Here is an 18,013-nt window from a genome sequence, read left to right on the forward strand (position 1 = left end):
ACTCTTTTTTTATAAGTAGAAGGAGTACACTCTAAAGTAATGCTAAAAAGTACAGTAAATATATAAGCCAGTAACACAGTGGTTTATTATGAATTTTATGTGACTGGAAATATGGTAGGTTTAGTTTGCACTAGCATCACCACAAATGTTGTGCTATGACATTTAGTTGGCTACATCACCAAGCAACAGGAATTTTCCAGCTCCATTACAATCTTATGGGGCCACTGTCATATATGCAATCCATCATTGACTAAAACATCATTATGAAGCGCATGACTATACTGTTTTTTCCTATACATACCTATAAAATTTCATGTAAAATTAGGCACAGTAAGAGATTAACAAAATAGAACGATTACAATGACATACTGTAACAAAAGTTATGTGAGTGGGGTCTTTCAAAATATTTATACTGTACTCACCTATTTTCAGACCTTGGTTGACCTTGGGTAACTGAAACCTTGGAAAGCAAAACTGCAGGGGAAGGGAGAGCATCAGGAAAAATAAAGGAGTACTATTGTACAGTGGACTAAGAAGACATACTCATTTGTTTCTTCATTCAGTCAGTCATTTTTTACTCTCATGTTGATTGTATCTGAAATTATAACTGGTACCTATGTCATTATACAGTCTGCTAAGAACAACAGTGGGCAAATTAGACTTCTGTTTATACTTCTATTGTAAAAATATAACATTTTTTAGGAAGTCAATAAATGGTAATTTAAATGCTTTCAATCACTTCACAGAATCTTCTAATATGCAACTATTATCCTCAGCAAACTAACGCAGGAAGAAAAAACCAAATACTGCATGTTCTCACAAGTGGGAGCTGAACAAGGAAAACACATGGACACATGGCAGGGAAAACATACACCGGGGCCTGTGGTTGGGGGCCAGGAGGTGGCAGGGAAAGGGAGAGCATCAGGAAGAATAGCTAATGGATGCTGGGCTTAATACCTAGGTGATGGGTTGATCTGTGCCGCAAACCACCATGGCACACGTTTACCTATGTAACAAACCCAAACATCCTGCACATGTACCGCAGAACTTAAAAGTTGAAGAAAAAAAAATTTAATAGTTTTAACACAATCTTACAATGTTCTTTATAAATTTCAAAGTGTTTTCTCATATATTTAACTGCATTGTATCTCCCCTAACCAGAAAAACTGACAGCTCTGTTTATGTAAACACATTTAAAAATGTGTTCTTCATGAAGCTCATACACTAGAGGACACACACAAAAATGAATAGAAAGGAATGTGCAAAGTAAATTTTTGAAATAAATCAGGAAGCATACTTTTTAAAGGGATCCAGAGAGTGACTACATCTGAAAACAAGTTCCTTTCATGGTGCAACATTGACAAGAACATGCAGACTAGAGATATTAAGTTCAAATTCTAATTTTACCACTCTTTCAAGCCCCCATGTCCTCACCTATAAAATAGAAGAAACACTACCTCAGAGTTGCTGTGATGATATATATAAAATGCCTGGCAAATTAAATAGGGATTGTATTTTAATTCCTTTCCCCTTTCACAATGTGATTTATTAATTTTATATGTACAGACTCATTTGTTTCTTCAGTCTTTTATACATAACATCTTCTTTAAATAGAGCTCACCTACTGTTATGGATTGAACTATATCCTCCTAAAATTCATATGCTGAAACCATAAATCCCAATATGACTATATTTGAAGATAGAGCCTTTAGGAGGTAATTTAGGTTAAATGAAGTCTGAAGAGTCAGACCGTAATTCAACAGGATTGGTGGCCTTTTAAGAAGAGGAAGAAAGAATGAGATTTATTTTTACCTCTCCACATGTGCACAAGAGGTCATGTGAGCACATATCGAGAAGCCAGCCACCTACAAGCCAAGAGAATAGGCCTCAGTATGGAACCTAATTTGCTGGCACCTTGATCTTAGACTTCCCAGCCTCCGTAACTGTGAGAAGCACATTTCTGTGGTGTAAGCCACCCATTGCGTAGTGTTTTGTTATGGCAACTCGAGTAGACATGATACACCCACAAATTTTTTCTTATCTTAATAAAGAGAATATCACAATTTAAAGGAGAATAGGTAAGGATGACATAAAAAAGTCTGTAAAGTATTTTATTTTTCCAGTTTACCTATAACATTTTAAATAATAACATTCAAAATGCTATGGATTTAAATGTGAATCGTTTGATCAATTTCCCACCTGCCCCTGAGAAATCAGTAACTGTTTATTAGGGCTTGGTATTAAACCATTGATTCATGGAAACTCACATATCCTAGAACTTTCAAGTATTTAAAAATATAATAGAACTGCTAAGAAAATCTTTCAAAAAAATTTGTAACACCTAACAATCATTTTTTGAAATCTTCAGAAAAATTAATGAATGGTATAATTAAATTTGTTAGTTTTCTAAATTATATTCAGTGTTCTCACATTACCCAGCTTAGTGTCTAATACATGGATGATGCTCAATAAATACTCTGAATAAACACTAGAGCCAATAACCTAATGCAAAATGCTCAATCTTGACAAACTTGTTTCAAGGATAACTGCACGACATGGTAAGGAATTGCAAAAATTTTGAAACACTGATTCTTTAAAAATAATCTTTTAAGTTAACTTTCAAGAAGTATAAGTAATTCTACATTTTTCTTTTGAAGAGATAACAGACAACAAAAACCAAAAATCTACTTGCCTAAATTGTTTGTATGAGCTTTGGGAATATATTGATAGTTACAGACAATTCAGTGAAACTTAGAGGCAACCACACAATCACGAGTATCTGTAAGTATTCAGTTTTCAAACTGAACAGGGCTACAACCCGTCAGACACCCAGAAAGAATAAGGACAAATCCCTTGTTTATTATTAAAAACTCATATAGGATGCTTTATTTATAGATACACAGTTAACTATGTACAAAATAAAAAAAAGGAAAACCAATCTACTAAAATATATTAACTCTAAGAAAATCAGATCTTATTCCTGTTTCTCCATACTAGGCATAATTATTTTCAAAGCTATACAATACGAAGTTTATCAGTCTTATCTGTTTGCCATAACATCATTATGAATTTTCTCTTTTAAAAATGGCAATAACAAGTGACTTATGTTCTAATAAAATTTGGATCACAGCTAGCAAATGAAAGACTATGAGACTCAATCACTTTTAATCATTAAGTTTGTGTTAGTCTTTATTAAAAACAAAAAATAACTAAAATTTCAGACAGCGATGTACATAATATATATAAGAATATACCCAAAAAAGTAAATTTCTACCACCCTCGCACAGCAGAAATTTCAATGGGTTATTCTATACCAAATCCAAGTGTTTACATCCAAGATGTCACAGAGGTAACTTCCTTTTGTACCTAAAGTAAAAATAAATCCATTTAATAGAAGACAAGACACAGGTTCATTTGTAAATTGCCTAACAGCTCTAGTGTATTAAAATTCTAACCTAAGACATATATATTGTAAACCAAAATAAATTGGCTGGCATATGGAGTGAGAAATATCTATGTTCTAGATATGAGAAAAAAGGCAACGTTTAATGACAGCTCTGTTATGAAGTCTCAAACAGAGCTAAAGGTTTCCTGTTGTTGATTCCCATGAAAATTAAAGATACAAAGTCTGTAACTGCCACTCTGTTTTAATATGCACTTAATATCACAATAACTTGAAAATTTTTTTTTTTTTTTAGATGGAGTCTCACTCTGTCACCCAGGCTGGAGTCTAATGGCATGATCTCGGCTCACTGCAACCTCCTCCTCCCAGGTTTAAGCGATTCTCCTGTGTCAGCCTCCCGAGTAGGTGGGATTACAGGCACTTGCCACCAAACCGAGATAACTTTTTCTATTTTTAGTAGAGACAGGGTTTCACCGTGTTAGCTAGGATAGTCTTGATCCCCTGACCTCGTGATCCCCCCGCCTTGGCCTCCCAAGGTGCTGGGATTACAGGCGTGAGCCACCGTGCCCAGTCAACTTGAAAGTTTATAATAAGTAAATAGCCCAAATCTGGTTTCCTCTACTCTACAAAAGTCACACTTCATTTCAATACCACAGCACTGAACAACAGTTGTTTCATCCAACCAAAAGGATTAGTCAAAAAATAAGACAGAAAATAATGACTTAAACCTTTGCTCAAAACTCAAAATCCTCAAGATTCAACATAGTAATAATATGACCATGCTCTAATTTTAGTTCATTTTGTGCTTGGGTTTACATAAAACTTGCTTCAAAAATACTCTAGTTTCTGACTTACACAGCATACAATGGTGCAGACGATAACACTGAGCTTGGCCTATTCTAGTGCTAGGACTTACACTCACTTCTTCCCCTGGAAAGACTATATAGGGTCCCTATCTGCTTGTAATTAAAAAGGGATGAAGTCAAAGCAGAAGCTATTCAATAGCTGTCCCCCAGAATTGTTTGGGCATGTTTAATAAAGAAAATACAAAAGGCAATTTGCTGAGGTTAATTTTTTAAAGAACCACAGAGAACAGAGACAAGGGTTTTCTTACATTTATGTCCCTAATTAAAATAAATGTCAGCATACCATTAAGAAAATCATGAATAAAATTACTGCTTTTCAGTTACCTTATTGAGCTCTGGAAACAGTTCCTGTATCACAATGTCCAATAAAACATAAGTCAGCTAAAGCACCAAAAAATAATAATAATAAATGTTAAGGCACTAAACACAAAAACCATAAAAATGATACACACAAAATTAAAGATTGTGGTTACCTCTAAGTGGGAAGGCAGGGAATGGGACTGATAATATAAAACAAGCACAAAAGTAGCCTCAGTAGTATCAATAATGTTCTATTCTCAAAATAGGTAATAAGTACACATGTGTTTGCATGAGGACACTTTCATTATGCCTCATTAATTCATTTTTATGTTAAATATTTGAATTTTTAGAAAAACAAGAACACAAAATCACAACTGTATTGAGATCTCAACAGAATATATAAAGCTTATACATAGTTTACATAAACCATAAACATAAAAATGTTAACTGGTTATTCTATGTGACTTGAATAATGGAATTATCCATTTTTAATTTTTTACTGTATTTCATGAATTTTCTATGCCAAATTTTCTACAATTACTATATATTAATTTTAAATCAAAATAATTCATCTTATTTAGAAAAAACTGAAACAAAAAGAGTAACTCAAATAAAACTTTTTTTCTATCTGAATGTTTAAAATTATATTGCCTTGGTTTAGTATAGTGTCATTTATACAACTAATGAGTTACCAGACACCTTACTACGTCGTTCACCAAACCTAGCCAGCATGAGTTTACGAGCTTTAATGAGCTTTACCTGCTTGTTGAGTACTGGTTGCTGTAAGCCATCAAACAGAAGTCTGATGCTTTCATACTTGGTTTCTTCACCAATACACTTGACTAACAGATCTAAACAAAAAGGCCAAATGTGAAATAATTTTATATTATAAAGTGACTCACCATTAACTGGATCATAAAGCAAAATCACCACCCTGTTTCCCAGATACTAGGCAAAAACTGCAAATCAATACTCCCCAAACCAGTGTTTCTATAAGAGGCTCCTGGATAAGAGGTTTCTATGGTCAAGTTGACAAATGCAGTATCATGTATCCCATTTTTGGAGATTCACAATGCACAAGGCATAATGCAAACTCTGAGAAATGCTGCAGTAAAAAAAAAAAAAAAAAAAATCTGCTAGTTGGAAAATAATACTTATTGTATTACCCCACTAAGGGAAAACAAAACAAATTAAACCCTAAAATGATGTTTGTACATCTGTACATACATGTATAGAAATGCATGGAAAAATGTAAGGATTAACACCCAATGTAGGATAAGCCGACTTCTACCCAGTGGGCAGAAGATAGCTTCTACTTTTTATTCTATATATTTTCATAGTGCTCTTAATATCAGAAAAAAAAAGTTTAATTTTTAAGGCAGACTTTTCTCAGTGAATAAGAACACCTAATTTCTGGACTTTTGCATAAGTTACTATTAACCATCTTACAAACCAATCATTTTGGGAAATATAACAAATATTTAAACACTTATTTAGGGTCCAACGAGTTCAGATTTGTGTCTGGCTGCATAGATGTCATGTACCACTGATATCAATTCTGTTACCAAGAAAAGTCAATCCTTATTAAGATCTCCACTGAATGCTTCCCTAAGCAGAAAAAAAAGAAGTTATTCTTATATAAACAAGGTACTCAAATATTTATCCTTTTTCCCCTATCATAACTAAACTCCTAGTGTTGGTCATAAAAAATTCTAATGCTAGGAGACAAAGCCAAATTTAATTTACAATAGGCATAGTACATCCTTGGTATTTTCAAGATATGTGGCCCAATACAAATCTTTGTTAATCCTCAAACTCACCAATACTACATGGAATTTCCCAATTAATATGCATGAAACTAATGAACAAATATACGTAATTCTTTCACATCCTTCAGGTGTCACTAAGTAAGAGATGAGGAGCAGAGGATAACACAAAGGAATGGTAAGCTTGCTCAAGAGCTAAGTTACTCTCCCAAACGGGAGTCTTAAAGTGAATGTGGTTTGAATTTGTGCCTCAGCAAAATAACAAATTACTATATTCTCTGGCTCTCCATGTTGTTTCTGAGTATCAAAGCTGAGACTGTTGAAAGTATGAATGCTAAGGGTCATTATATCAGAAAACAGGTAAAAAAAAATTATTTCATCATTTGCCTACAGAAAATTTACTCAAAAACAGCTTATGTTCAGTTTTATATTCAGAGCAGATATTTAAGTTAATTATTTTCACAAGGAAGAGCAGAACTATTCTAAGGCTAGTTCCTCAATATTAAGAATTCTCTAAGGTTCTGTCCTAAGACCTCCTCTTTTTAAAATAAACTTTACTTTTTAAAGTAGTTTTGTGTTCACAATGAAACTGAGCAGAAGGAAGAGATTTCGCATATGTTCCCTGTCTTGTCTCCCCGACTATCAACATCCCCAACAAGAGTGTACATTTGTTACAACTGATAACACACATTGGTACATCATTATTACCCAGAGTCCATAATTTACATTGGAGTTCGTTCTTGGTGTTGTACGTTCTGTGGGTCTGGACAAATAGATGATGATATGTAACCATCATTATAGAGTAGTTTCACTGCCCCAAAAAATCCTCTCTGCTCTGCCTATTCATCCCTCCCTCCCCTCCAATCCACTGTCTTCTTAGTTTTGCCTTTTCCAAAACAGCAGATAGTTGAAAATATACAGTATGCAGTCTTTTCAGATTGGCTTCTTTCTCTTAGTAAGATGAATTTCAGGCTCCTCCATGACTTTTCATGATGTGACAGCTCATTCCTTTATAGCACTGAATAATATCCCATTGTCTAGAAGTATGAGTTTATTTATCCATTCACCTAAATAAAGAACACCTTGGTTGCTTCCAAGTTTTGGCAATTCTGAAGTTGCTATAAACATTCATGTGCAGGTTTCTGGGTGGACATGTTTTCAACTGCTTTGGGTAAATATCAAGAAACATAATTGCCAGATCTCATGGTAAGAGTGTGCTTAGTTTTGTAAGAAACTGCTCACCTGTCTTCCAAAGTGGCTACACCATTTTGCATGCCCACCAGCAATGAATGAGAATTCCACATGTTCACCAGCAAATGGTGGTGTTGGTGTTCTGGATCTGGGCCATTCTAACAGGTGTGTGGTGGTATCTCATTGTTTTAAATGTGCATTTCCTTGATGACATATGATGTAGAACATCTTTTCATATGCTTGTGTGTAATCTTCTTTGGTAAGGTGTCAAGATATTTGGCCAATTTTAAAATCAGGTTGTTTGTGTTCTTATTGTTGAGTTTCAGGATTTCTTTGTACATTTTTGGTAACAGTCCTTTATCTGATACGTCTTTTGCAAATATTTTCTCCCAGTCTGTGGCTTCTCTTTTCATTCTTTATAGTGTCTTTCACAAAGCAAAATTTTTAATTTTAATGAAGTAAAGATTATCAATTATTTCGTCTATGGTTCATGCCTTTGGTGTTGCAACTAAGAAGTCATCGCCAAACAGAAGGTCATCTACATTTTCTCCCATGTTATCCTCTAAGTTTTACAGTTTTGCTGTAAACTGTTCCTTTGCTAATAAGAACAGTTGCTGTAAGTCTGTTCTTTTGCTAATATCACACTTTCTTGATTACTGTAGCTTTATAGTATGCCTTGAAGAAAGGTAGTGTCAATCCTGTGACTTTGTTGTTCTCAATCAATATTGAGTTGGCTATTCTGGGTCTTTTTGCCTCTCCATATAAACTTTAAAATGTTTGTCAATACCCACAAAACAACTTACTGGGATTTGGATTGGGACTGCATTGAATCTATAGACGAAGTTCAGAAGAACGGACATCTTGAAAACAGAATATTTCTATCCACATAAAATCTCTCTCCATTTATTTAGTTCTTTGATTTCTTTAATTAAAGTTTTACAATTTTTCTCATATAAATCTTGTGCATGTTTTGTTAGATTACTACCCAAGTATTCCACTTTTGGGGGTGCTAATGCAAATAGTATTTTTTTTAATTTCAAATACCACTTGCTCACTGATGATATACACGAAAAGTAACTGAATTTTGTGTATTAACCTTATATCCTACCACCCTGGTAAAATTGCTTATTATTTCCAGGAGCATTTTTGTCAATTTTTGGATATTCTACATAGACAATCATGTCATCTGTGAACAAAGACAGTTTTATTTCTTTCTTCCCAATCACTATGCTCTTTATTTCCTTTTCTTGTCTTACTGCACTAACTAGGACTTCGAGTACAATGTTGAAAGCAGTAGTGAGAGCATGCCTTGTTCCTCATCTTAGTGGGATAGCTTTTAAGTTTTTCATCAAGTGTGATGTTAGCTATAGGTGTTTTTGTAGATATTCTTTATCAAGTTGAGGATGTTCCCCTCTCTTCCTAGTTTGCTGAGATCATAAGTGGGTGTTAGATTTTGTCAAATGCTTTTTCTGCATCTACTGCTATGATCATGATTTTTCTTCTTTAGCCTGCTGATGTGATGATGGACTACCTTAATTGACTTTTGAATGAATGCTGAACCAGCCTTGAATACCTGGGATAAATCCCACTTGGTGTATAATTCTAACATCCCTGCCATATCTGACTCTGGTTCTGATACTTGCTCTTTCTCGTCAAACTGTTTTTTCTTGCCTTTAATATGTCTTGTAATTTTTTTCTTGATAACTGGACATGACACACAAGTTAAGAGGAACTGCTGCAAACAGGCCTTTAGTAATGTGGTGATAAAATATGGAGGGAGAGGAAGGGTTCTATAGTCCTAGGAGGGGGTCTCAATCTTTTAGTGAGCTTGTACCACTGAACTGTGAACTTCACACATGCTTCTCAGGCCCCCCTGACCCCCTTGCACAGGACAAGATGGCTAGAGTGTATTGGAGTTGGGTATTTCCCTTCTTCCATGTGGAAGGCCAGGGCTGGCTAGAGTTGGTTCTTTCCCTTCCATCAGGTCAGTCAGGCTCTGGTCACTTTCTACTGAGGGTAGGGCCTTGTCAAGAACAGAATGCCCTGACTGATGTATTTCAAAATGGTTCCCTTCTGGCCCCCTTGCCAGAAGCACATGGGGATTTTTCTCCAATATTCACTGTGGGATCTTGGTCAAGGCCCTGGAGGTAAAACTCACAAAAAAAGTGTGGATGGGCTGGGCACGGTGGCTCACGCCTGTAACCCCAGCACTTTTGAAGGCCGAGGCGGGTGGATCACCTGAGGTCAGGAGTTCGAGACCAGCCTGACCAACAAGGGGAAACCCCATCTCCACTAAAAATACAAAAATTAGCCAGGCGTGGTGGTGCAGGACTGTAGTCCCAGCTACTCGGGAGGCTGAGACAGTAGAATTGCTTGAACCCAGGAGGCGGAGGTTGCAGTGAGCAGAGATCGTGTCATTTCACTCCAGCCTTGGTGACACAGTGGGGCTCTGTCTCAAAAAAAAAAAAAAAAAAATGTGGATGGGTAACCCCATGACTTGGTTCCCCTGGAGTTTTTAATCTCTTAAAAAGAGATTTAAAAGGCTGTAGCAATTTGTCAGTTATAGTTCAGGTTTCCCTAGCTCAGCACTGGCTTCTCCAGGGGTTTTGAGTTCACGGGTTTCTGCTGCAGCTAGCTATGATTCTCTCCAACCTTGGGGGGCAGTGGCTTGCCGTATGACCTCACTCTCTGGTGAATCTAAGAGTTGTTTAGTTTTTTTAGTTCATTCAGGTTTTTGCTTGTTACTAGGATGGAGTGATGATGGCCAGGTTCTTATGTGCCAGACCAGAAACTGGAAGTCACCCTTTTCTCTTCTTACTCCATACTTTCTCCCTATGCTTTAGTATCTACTCACACATGGCTCCCATATCTCTACTAATCTATCCTATACCACCTTTTCTCCAACTTTTGAACCTCGGTGTCTAAGTGTTTAACAGACACTTCCTCCTGAGTAATTTATAGGCACTTCTCATTCAAAATGTTCTAAACTAAGAATCACCTGCTTTGATCCCTTGACATTTCTTCCTTGTTATTTCCCGTCACAGTTAAGAGGTTACTACCACTCATTTCCTTAGTGGCCCAAACCTACCAACTTTACAGAGGAGGTGACCATCCTCCTCCTTTGTGATATCTCTGTAACTTGAAAATGCCTCTATTATCACATGTATGTTTTGTCTATATGCCTGTCTTCCTGCTAGACTGACCTACTCAAGTGCATTTTTTATATGCCTTGCATTTTGCATAGTGCCTGGAATATGGAAGGTGCTCAATAAATTTGGAATGAATGAATTCTGATCTTTTATCATACACACTAGTGAGCTATTCTTATGGTGTCGTGGACACAGGCCTTCAATTGTCCCACATGTCACTTTGACCAGTCTGACTATAAGTTATTTTTGAATGAATCTGGCTATTATGTGAGTAGAAACAGCCTTGCCTTAAAGTCCTAATATCTTAGTCTTAGTGCTAACATCTGAAAGAATTATTTAACTAGTGTGTTAATTTTAACTGATCTTTGCAACTATTTGTAAAATGAAAACTCACAGTAAAAAATTAGCTTCAATAATTACTATACATTGTGACCTCAACGGACTGCTAATCTATATGAAATTAAGTTACTTCTTAAATATTACACCTGGAATGTAATTCATCATTTCTTCAAAAGTCTGTTTTGCTCCTTTTTGCTTATCTTGGAGAGAGCGAGGTTCAGTGTTTTCACAGAATATAGCATCTAAAAAAGAGTAAAAAGAAATATTTCTGGAATTTTCATCTATTTATACACAAAGGATTTCCTCATAGTAGAAATACTAATAAACCAAAGCAAAACAAGATTTCTTCCTCTTTAGATTCAATTAAAATCATAGAGTACACAAAATATGAAACAAACACATTAGAAAATACAAACCTCTGAGAAGTGTTATGAGTGAGACCAAACGGTGCTCCTGAAATAGCTGTTCTAGTTTACACTGAAGATAGTAATCAGTATACATTTCCAGGGTGTTTTTAAAGAGGATTCGAGTTCCCATTAAGAGATGATGAAGCCAGTCAGGAACCTGGAAAACTACCCGTCCTGAGAAAGGATCAAATGGGATACCTCATTGTTCCAGATGAATTGGTATTTTTGAAATTTGCCAATGTAGAAAACACAAATGACCATGGTCAATATTTTATTTGTAAACACTAGCAACTTTAATATGATCAAGGCCAATCGTATTGAATTATTATAAAAGGTATCTTCAATTAAAAAGACAGTTATGATGGGGCAATACTCAAGATCATTATTTGCATCACAGAAGAAGTAAGATGAATGAAAAACAAGTCTTAAACCACTTAGATCTTACCTACATACATCAGGTAATCATAGACTCCTTCTACAGTCATCACCTCCATAAAATAATTCTGATTTTGCTTTCTCTCTGTATTTTCAGCACGGTTTGCATTATTTTTAAACAGATCATTGAAAAGCTAAAATAAAAGTTGGAATAATAAAGAGATATATAGTTTATTACATCTGCTGACGATAATCAATAAGGATTAAGTGTCACACAGCAAAGGCATTTAAACTTTTTCCAATCAAAACAGAATATTAGATAGGTTAATATATGCTTCTAAAATTCCCCATTTATGCCCCGAATTGCAATAAAAAATACATGTTCCCCAAAAATATTACATAAAAACTAAAATATTCATTTTAGTTACAGTAGATAATTCATTATCCATTAAAGACCCCTTTGTTTTTACATACCACAAAAGCAAAGTAACATAAAAAGATGTACAAATATATTATTGATAGCTAACTTTAAAACTAACATGATTTAGGCCAGGCGCAGTGGCTCACGCCTGTAATCTCAGCACTTTGGAAGACGGAGGCAGGCAGATCACCTGAGCTCGCAAGTTTGAAATCGGCTTGTCCAACATGGTGAAACCCCATCTCTACTAAAAATACAAAAAAATTAGCCAGGTGTAGTGATGCGTGCCTGTAGTCCCAGCTACTTGGGAGACTGAGGCAGGAGAATAGTTTGAACCTGGGAGCCAGAGGTAACAGTGAGCCGAAATCGTGCCACTGCACTCCAGCCTGGGTGACAGAGCAAGACCGTCAAAAAAAAAAAAAAAAAAAAAAAAACACTAACATGATTTAAAGATTATAAATCACTATAAGTAGAGGTAAAAATCCAGCGTTAGGTGAAATTTATTTGGACAATATTCAAAGCCCACAAAGGCCTAATCAATGTTGGGGTGGGGGGGAACTAAAACAAGATATTAAGAATTAATGGTTGCAGTGAGCCAGAGATTGCACCACTGCACTCCAGCCTGGGTGACAGAGTGAGACTCTGTGAAAAGGGAGAAAGAGGGGAGGGGAGAGGGAAGAGAAGTAAGGAGACTGTGGAGGAAAGTATATTCGATTTTACCTGAAGATGAATTTTTTAAAAGCCTCCTAGAAAAGTATCCTGAGAACAAAGACCATATATTCTATTGGCTCTTATGTCAGATATTATTAACACAGACACATACTTAAAACATTTTTCCCCAACCCAAAAAATAGGAAAAGGGCTCTCCCTTCTGATATATTATTCCCTCTACTCTTTTAAATTTTCAGTGTAATTTTTTTTTTCACTAAAAAACAGTGATATTATATAGTAAGTCTGGAAAACGGGAAAAACAACTCAATTTTGTTTTCCCTCTGTATTTTCAGCACGGTTTGCATTATTTTTAAGCAGAAATCTAAAATAAAAGTTGAAATAATAAAGAGATATACAGTTTATTACATCTGTTGACAATAATCACTAAGGCTAAATAAAGTGACACAGAGCAAAGGGGCATTTAAACTTTTAAATTAAAACTCAACCACCTAATAGTGTTACTATTAAACTTTTGTATATTAACTTGTACTCTCTATATACATAGCCACAAATCAATGAGGTTCAAAAAATATCACATCCTACTTTTTCATTTAGCACCATATCAAATATCTTTATGTTGCTTTATAGTTTTCATAAGCACAATTTCATCTGCTGCAAAACACTCCTTGAATAGATGTTCCTTAAAATAATCATTCCTACAATGTTAGAATTTCATGTTGTTTCCAATTTTTCACTTATGTAAACAATATTTTAATAAACACCTTTACATGTTATAAGCTCTTCTCTTATTTTTCTCCCTGACAAATTCCTAGCATTCCTAGCATGAGTTCAATAGGTTATATTTTGTAACCTTCATGACTCATGAAGTAATAAACCTGAAGAATTTTGTAATTGTTAAAGAAATTAAATTGGTTATAAAAAATCTTCCTACAAACAAAACTGGAGGCCTAGATGACTTTACCAACTCTATCAAATATTTATAAAAAGTCTACCAAAAATAAAAAATGCTAATAAAACTTTGATACCAAAACCTAACAAGGACAGAATGAGAAAGAAAAATTATAGGCTATATTCTACCCATAAACATGAATGTAAACTTCCTTAATCTTTTTTTTTTTTTTTTTTTTTTGGAGACAGAGTCTTGCTCTGTCCCCCAGGCTGAAGTGCAGTGGCGCGATCTCAGCTCACTGCAACCTCCACCTCCCAGGTTCAAGCGACTCTCCTGCCTCGGCCTCCCGAGTAGCTAGGATTACAGGCACCCACCACCACGCTTGACTAATTTTTGTATTTTCAGTAGAGGCAGGGTTTCACCAAGGTGGCCAGGCTGGTCTCAAACTCCTGACCTCAAGTGATCCATCCACCTTGGCCTCCCGAAGTGCTGGGATTACAGATGTGAGCCACTGCACCTGGCAACTTCCTTAATCTTATAAAGGTTATCTATTAATACAAAAAGAGCTACACCACACTATTCGATGGTGAAATAATTAAACAATTTCCTTTCTATATAGCAGTCCTAGTCAGGAATAAAACAAAACTGCAATCATCTGCAACAATTGTGTCAATATAAAAGAATTACCAGATATTACTAAAACTAATGTTAAGTCTAGCAAGACGACTAAATAAAAATTTTCTATCTATATATACAAGTTATAAAATGAAAACATTAATAATATTAAAGATACCATTCAGAGTATTAACAAAAATAAAAGATAGAGGTCCTCTGAGCTTCCATAGCTCCCCATGCTGGGCACTACACCTTGGCACTAAACACCTTCTTGAGGACAAGGAATGTATCCTTATATTCCCAGTGCCTAGCACTCAATCGTAGGCATGTAATAAAATGTTTGTTTAATGAATGGATAAAATACTTTATAAGCCATGAAAGTTAGGTAATGCCATCCAATAAACATAAACACAGTATAGCAATTAATTTCTTATTATTGAAAGTTGGTGACATATAACCTAAGAAAACCACTTTTAAAAATCCCCAAATACAGAAGTGGCATCAGTTTGCAAATATAGTATCCAGAGAAACATTTACCACATTAAAGCAAAGAACCAAGTAATTACACACAATACCCTCTGTATACCGTTCAACTGATTTCCACATAAAGGAAATGTATAGCTCAATCCATTTCATTAACAAAGTATTCATTCTCTCGACAATGAAAAAGTAATCTCAAGTAGGGCAACTTAAAACTTAATAGTTCTTTAATGCAATGTGCAGTACCTTCTTGTTGTTTTCTGAAGTAGGGCTGAGAATGGTCAGTTCTGGTCTACTTGGTTTAGGCTTTGGAGACTCACAAGAATTAATGAAATTCATGATAAAAGGTTCCAAATGCTGACCTTTCTGTGGTGATAGATTATTGTAAGAAAATAAAAAATAAAGGTAATTTTTAGTACATAATCCAGCAAAATTTATCAATATTTAAATATGTTTATGATTATCATGTTATAGAACACACATAAATCAGTTACTCACCTCTTTCATTAGTTTTCCAGGAACAGATTTTATAATTTTCCCTGCAATTAAAAGTAAAACATTATTTTAGGAAGGCATAAAACTCTTCATAATTGCTCACATGAATACTTAACCAGGTAATTTTAAATACGAAATAGCCAAGTTAAAACTGTAAAAGTATTTATGATTGACCATTTCACACTCCATGGAAATTTTCAATAAATATGGTATTCTGAAATATTTATAGATAGAATATTTGGGATTTACTTTAAAAAAATCCAGTGAGGTAAGTGGTGGGAGAAGGGATGGAACAAGCCAAGGGTTGATAACAACGTTGAGTAAGAAGTTTATTACATAATTTTGTCTACTTTTGTGAAAATTTCTATAAGAAATATTTTCAAAGGGTTTTCAGTAACAGTGAATATATAATGGTATCTAAAGATATGCAAAGGTCAGTCAAAAAAAAGTTTTAAGAACTGCCTCAATATTTAAAACTATTTCAGTAGTTTATATTCTGAATTTTAGATTAAGAATTTCTATTCTAAATCCTATGTTTGCCAAAATTACTTCTTGATCTCCAGCTTCCCTTAATTTGAAACATCAAACATCTTGAGATTTTCTCCAGCATTTAGAAATGACTTAAAAATCAATCAAAATTGATAAATACAACTTAAACTGCTTTCTGAACAAATCAGAAAAAAGTAGATTTATGGCAATAGAAGGGGACATTAATAATAAAGAATAAAAATACTGTTTTGTGACAGGCAAACCACCCAACCTTCCCATTTGGCTATTTCTGGTATTTCTGGTTCTCATAACACCCCCTCCTTAGAATGTTCCCAAGTTCTTTAAATTATATGGTTTCATCCTATGCTTTTCTGTCTTCTATGTGTTCTTACTGAGCCAAATTATTTGCTCAATCTGATTTCAAATAAAATTCAAATCTCTAATCTCTGCCTGTCTCCTGGACTCTCCTGCTTTATAAAACTTCAACTGGATTCTATAAACTCAGTAAGTTCAAAACTGCTCTTAATGTATCCCCTATTCCAACAAGTAACAGCATTCATCCAGTTATTTAAATAGAAACTTGGATCATCCCTGATCATTTCTTCTTCAATCAAACCTAGTCAGTAACCAGGAATACCCAATCTCCTAAATGCCATATATAACCAAATATTTTGTCCTCACTTTTTTCCCCCAATAAAAAGATACACAAACACTAAATATTTTGACTCAAATAAATGTATTGATTTGGGTGGGGGTGTGGGTATAGACAGAAGCCAAATGTCTACTTGCATTATTTAACTCACTGATTTAGTTCCATATACATTACTTCAGATTACATCATATAAAATATATTTAGAGGCTAGTCAGGGTGGCTCCACGCCTGTAAGTCCAACAATTTGGGAACCTAAGGTGGAAAGATCAATTGAGGAGTTCAAGACCAGCTTGGGCAACAAAGCGAGATCCCATCTCTACAGATATTTAAAAATTAGCCAGGTGTGCTGGTGTGTACCTGTAGTCTTAGCTACTTTGGGAGGCTGAGGCAGGAAGGATCACTTGAGCCCAGGATTTGAGGCTGCAGTGAACTATGATTGTGTTGGCTGGGCGTGGTGGCTCACGCCTGTAATCCCAGCACTTTGGGAGGCCGAGGCGGGCGGATCCCGAGGTCAGGAGTTCGAGACCAGCCTGACCAACATGGTGAAACCCCGTCTCTTCTAAAAATACAAAAATTAGCCGGACGTGGTGGCACACGCCTGTTATCCCAGCTACTAAGGAGACCAAGGCAGGAGAATCGCTTGAACCCGGGAGATGGAGGTTGCAGTGAACTGAGATCGTGCCACTGAACTCCAGCTGGGTGACAGAGTGAGACTCCGTCTCAAAAAACAAAACAAAACAAAACAAAAAAAAACTATGATTGTGCCACTGCACTCCAGCCTAGGCAATAGTGTGAGACTCTGTCTCTAAAAACCATAATGAATACAAATGAATAAAAAATAAAATATATTTAGAAATATTGCTTTTATACAGTAGTAGTAGTAGTAGTAGTAGTAGCAGTAGTAGTAGTAGTAATAGTAGTAGAGATGTAGTCTCACTCTGTCGCCCAGGCTGGAGTGCAGTGGCATGATCTCGGCTCCCTCCACTTGCCAGTTTCAAGCAATTCTCCTGCCTAGGCCACCCAAGTAGCTGGGATTATAGGTGCACGCCACCACGCCCAGCTAATTTTTGTATTTTTAGTAGAGACAAGGATTCACCATGTTGGCCAGGCTGGTCTTGAACTCCTGACCTCAAGTGATCCACCCACCTCGGCCTCCTAAAATGCTGGGATTACAGGTGTGAGCCACTGCAACTAGTCAATGCTATATTATTTTTTACCTTTTTTTTTTTTTAGATGGAGTTTTGCTCTGTTGCCCAGGCTGGAGTGCAGTGGTGCAATCTCGGCTCACTGTAACCTCCACTTCCCAGGTTCAAGCAATTCTCCTGCCTCAGCCTCTTGAGTAGCTGGGACTACAGGCGCCCACCACCATGCCCAGCTAATTTTTGTGTTTTTAGTAGAGACAGGGTTTCACCATGTTGCTCACACTGGTCTTGAACTTCTAAGTTCAAGTGATCCATCTGCCTCAGCCTCCCAAATTGCTGGGACTACAGGTGTGAGCCACCACGCC

At 35.8% G+C, this 18,013-nt stretch overlaps 1 protein-coding gene across 44 annotated transcripts in view; it reads right to left on the reverse strand.

The window, feature by feature from the left end:
- The window catches only part of SNX14 (sorting nexin 14), an 88,363-nt gene continuing 73,206 nt past the window's right edge, over nt 2,857-18,013 (reverse strand). For 33 of the 44 annotated variants that reach the window (XM_047419128.1, NM_001350543.2, NM_001350539.2 and 30 more), the window contains 8 exons: nt 15,369-15,409; nt 15,117-15,236; nt 11,867-11,990; nt 11,431-11,595; nt 11,161-11,256; nt 5,329-5,420; nt 4,594-4,650; nt 2,857-3,366 (listed from right to left, as the gene is read on the reverse strand). In XM_047419128.1, coding sequence (XP_047275084.1) covers nt 3,328-3,366; nt 4,594-4,650; nt 5,329-5,420; nt 11,161-11,256; nt 11,431-11,595; nt 11,867-11,990; nt 15,117-15,236; nt 15,369-15,409 — 734 coding nt within the window. In that variant the 3' untranslated portion in view covers nt 2,857-3,327. The other 11 variants (NR_146774.2, NR_146775.2, NR_146779.2 and 8 more) reach the window with 5 other exon arrangements.

The sequence above is a fragment of the Homo sapiens genome, chromosome 6, assembly GCF_000001405.40.
Source record: "Homo sapiens chromosome 6, GRCh38.p14 Primary Assembly".
In the NCBI taxonomy this organism is placed as follows: domain Eukaryota; kingdom Metazoa; phylum Chordata; class Mammalia; order Primates; family Hominidae; genus Homo; species Homo sapiens.